This window comes from Homo sapiens, chromosome X (genome assembly GCF_000001405.40).
Source record: "Homo sapiens chromosome X, GRCh38.p14 Primary Assembly".
NCBI classification, from domain to species: Eukaryota; Metazoa; Chordata; class Mammalia; order Primates; family Hominidae; genus Homo; species Homo sapiens.
Genome location: NC_000023.11, coordinates 88,937,202 through 88,939,700, shown reverse-complemented (window position 1 = coordinate 88,939,700; position 2,499 = coordinate 88,937,202). Strand labels below are relative to the sequence as shown.

Below are 2,499 nucleotides of genomic sequence, written 5' to 3'. Positions count from 1 at the left end.
CTGCCTAAATTAAAGGGTTAAAAATTGTTTTAAGTTAGGATAAAGCTGAAGGTTTAAACAAGTTGTGGAAGGTTTGTGAAAAATTAATTGTAAAAGAAATTAATTCTGTGTGTGAACATTTTGGCTAAAGTTAAAGGGGTATTATTCGGTTTTTCTATAAATTAAGCATTAAAGTAAAAGCACAACAGGTTTTTCTTAGAGCAAAAACCTGCTTATAATATGCTCTTTAACAAAAAAATTGTAAAGAGTTATAAAATGTTTAAAAGAATCTTACCTTATGGTCAAACTAATTAAGATTAAACATATTTGTCTATAAGGTTTTCTTAAGAATTGGGTTTGATGTCAATAATGCACTAATGCAATGGTGACATTTGGCGTATTTGGTATAAAAATCATACTGAAAGCATTGTCAAATATGAAATTGTGTTTAGTGTTCTTTGGGCTGTATTTGCATTAATATTTGGTATATGTTCCAAATCATGGGAAACTCTTCTAATTCTAATATGGCTTAGTGTATGTTATTAATAGTTATAATTTTTATGTAAACTTTTATATGCCACAAAGGTAACCAAATTTCTTTGTCAATTGTGTTTTTGATGGTGGCTGTCCTAAGGCTTTTTATCACCCACAGATCATTGTTGTCTGGTTTTAATCCTCTTTAGAAGGTGGTTTATAGTCAGCTATAGAACTCTAACAGGTGTCATTAAATGCAGGTTTCTAATCACTTTAGAAATTGTGATGTTAGAATAAAAGAAAATCTTTCAGGATTCATGGAGGGCTGAAATGTTTGTGACTATTAACTGCATAAACTAAAGAAGTCTGAAGTAATCTTTTTAACTTTGTGTGAAATGCTTGTATTAGTCCATTTTCACACTGCTGATAAAACATACCCAAAACTGATCATTTTACTGGAACCTCCAGCACACTGCAGACACCATACAGGGAGGAGCCCAGTCTCCTTCCTTGTAAGACTCTTCCCTCACTCTTCACAGGGTAGGGCCCCAGATTTGGTCCCACAGCACAGTCACACCACCCCGGCTAAACATTCCCATTGGAAGTGGCTCTGTCTCTCTGGGGTGGTGTTCTTAGAGACAACTGACAGCCCCTCTGCCACTACCAATGCAGTGGTACTATCCTTACTGCCCTTGGGCTAGGGAAGAAACAGAGAGCCTGAGTGCTTGGACCTCCAGCACATTGCAGTCACCCTACAAAAAAAAAGGTTAGACTGTTTTCCCCATAAGCTCCTCAAATCTCCTACTCTTCACCACACAGGGCTTCCTATCTTGGGCTCACAACACAGTCTTCCCACCCTAGGCTGATCAATCCAACTTGCCAAGGCTCTGTGTTTCTCTGGAGTGGAGCCCTAAGACACTAGTGAAAGGTGCTTTGCCATTGCCACTGCCAATGTCTCCAACTTTGCTTTCTCTAAGCTGAGGAGTAAGCAAAAAGTCTAAGCTTGCCCCAGGCCTGCAGTGCACAGACTGGAAGTGCCAAGCCAAGGTCTGTGGCCAGCACTGAAGTAGGAAAGGAGTCCACACTCTCAGAGCACTGAGAGGGAGCATGGCTGCAAACATGAGGAAATACAGAGAAACCATCAGACATCTGATGTTTCATATGTCTCCTGAAAACACCCAGAAATGAAGCAACACATGACCTTTCAGCAGAAACCCTACAAGCCAGAAGAAATTAAGGGTCCTATATTCAGCAGTTTTAAAGAAAAAAAATTCCAAACAAGAATTTCATATCTAACCAAACTAAGCTTCTTAAGTGAAGGATCAATAAAATTATTTGTAGATAAGCAAATGCTAAGACAATTTATTACCATCAGACCTGCCTCACAAGAGGTTCTTAAGGGAGTGCTAAATGTGGAACCAACAGACCATTAGCAGCCACCACAAAACCACACTCCAGTACATAGACAATTGAAACTATAAAGCTAATACACAATCAAGTCTACATAACAACCAACTAATAACAAAATGAAAGGATCAAATCCTCACATATCAATATTAACCTTGAAAGGAAATGAGCCAATCATTCCCACTTGAAAGCCACAGACTGGCAAGTTGGATAAAAAATCAGGACCAACTCTATGCTATCTTCAAGAGACCCATCTCCCATGCAAGGGCAACCATAGGCTCAAAGTAAAGGGATGGAGAACTGTCTATCAAAACAAACATAAAACAAAAAGAGAGAAGATGTCACTATTTTTATTTTAGAACAAAAGATATTATATCAAAAACAATGAAAAAGAAGGGCATTTCATAGTGATAAAGTATTCAATTCAACAAGAAGACTTAACCTATACTAAATATGCACCTAAAACTGGAGTACACAGATTGATAAAACAAGTGCATAGAGACTTACAAAGAGATATAAATAACCAAACAATAATAGCGAGAGACTTCAACACCCCACAGACAAAACTGGACAGATCATTGAGAAAGAACACTAACAATGATATTTGGGTTCTAAATTTGACACGTGACAAAATGGGCC

The 2,499-nt window shown here is 37.7% G+C and overlaps 1 annotated feature.

Moving 5' to 3' along the window:
- Positions 1,020-1,205: a silencer, noted in NCBI's record as "fragment chrX:88193497-88193682 (GRCh37/hg19 assembly coordinates)". NCBI's record gives its function as "represses an EF-1alpha promoter that drives an FKBP-Casp9 reporter gene in an ReSE screen in HepG2 liver carcinoma cells {active_cell/tissue: HepG2}" and the evidence as "EXISTENCE:reporter gene assay evidence [ECO:0000049][PMID:32094911]".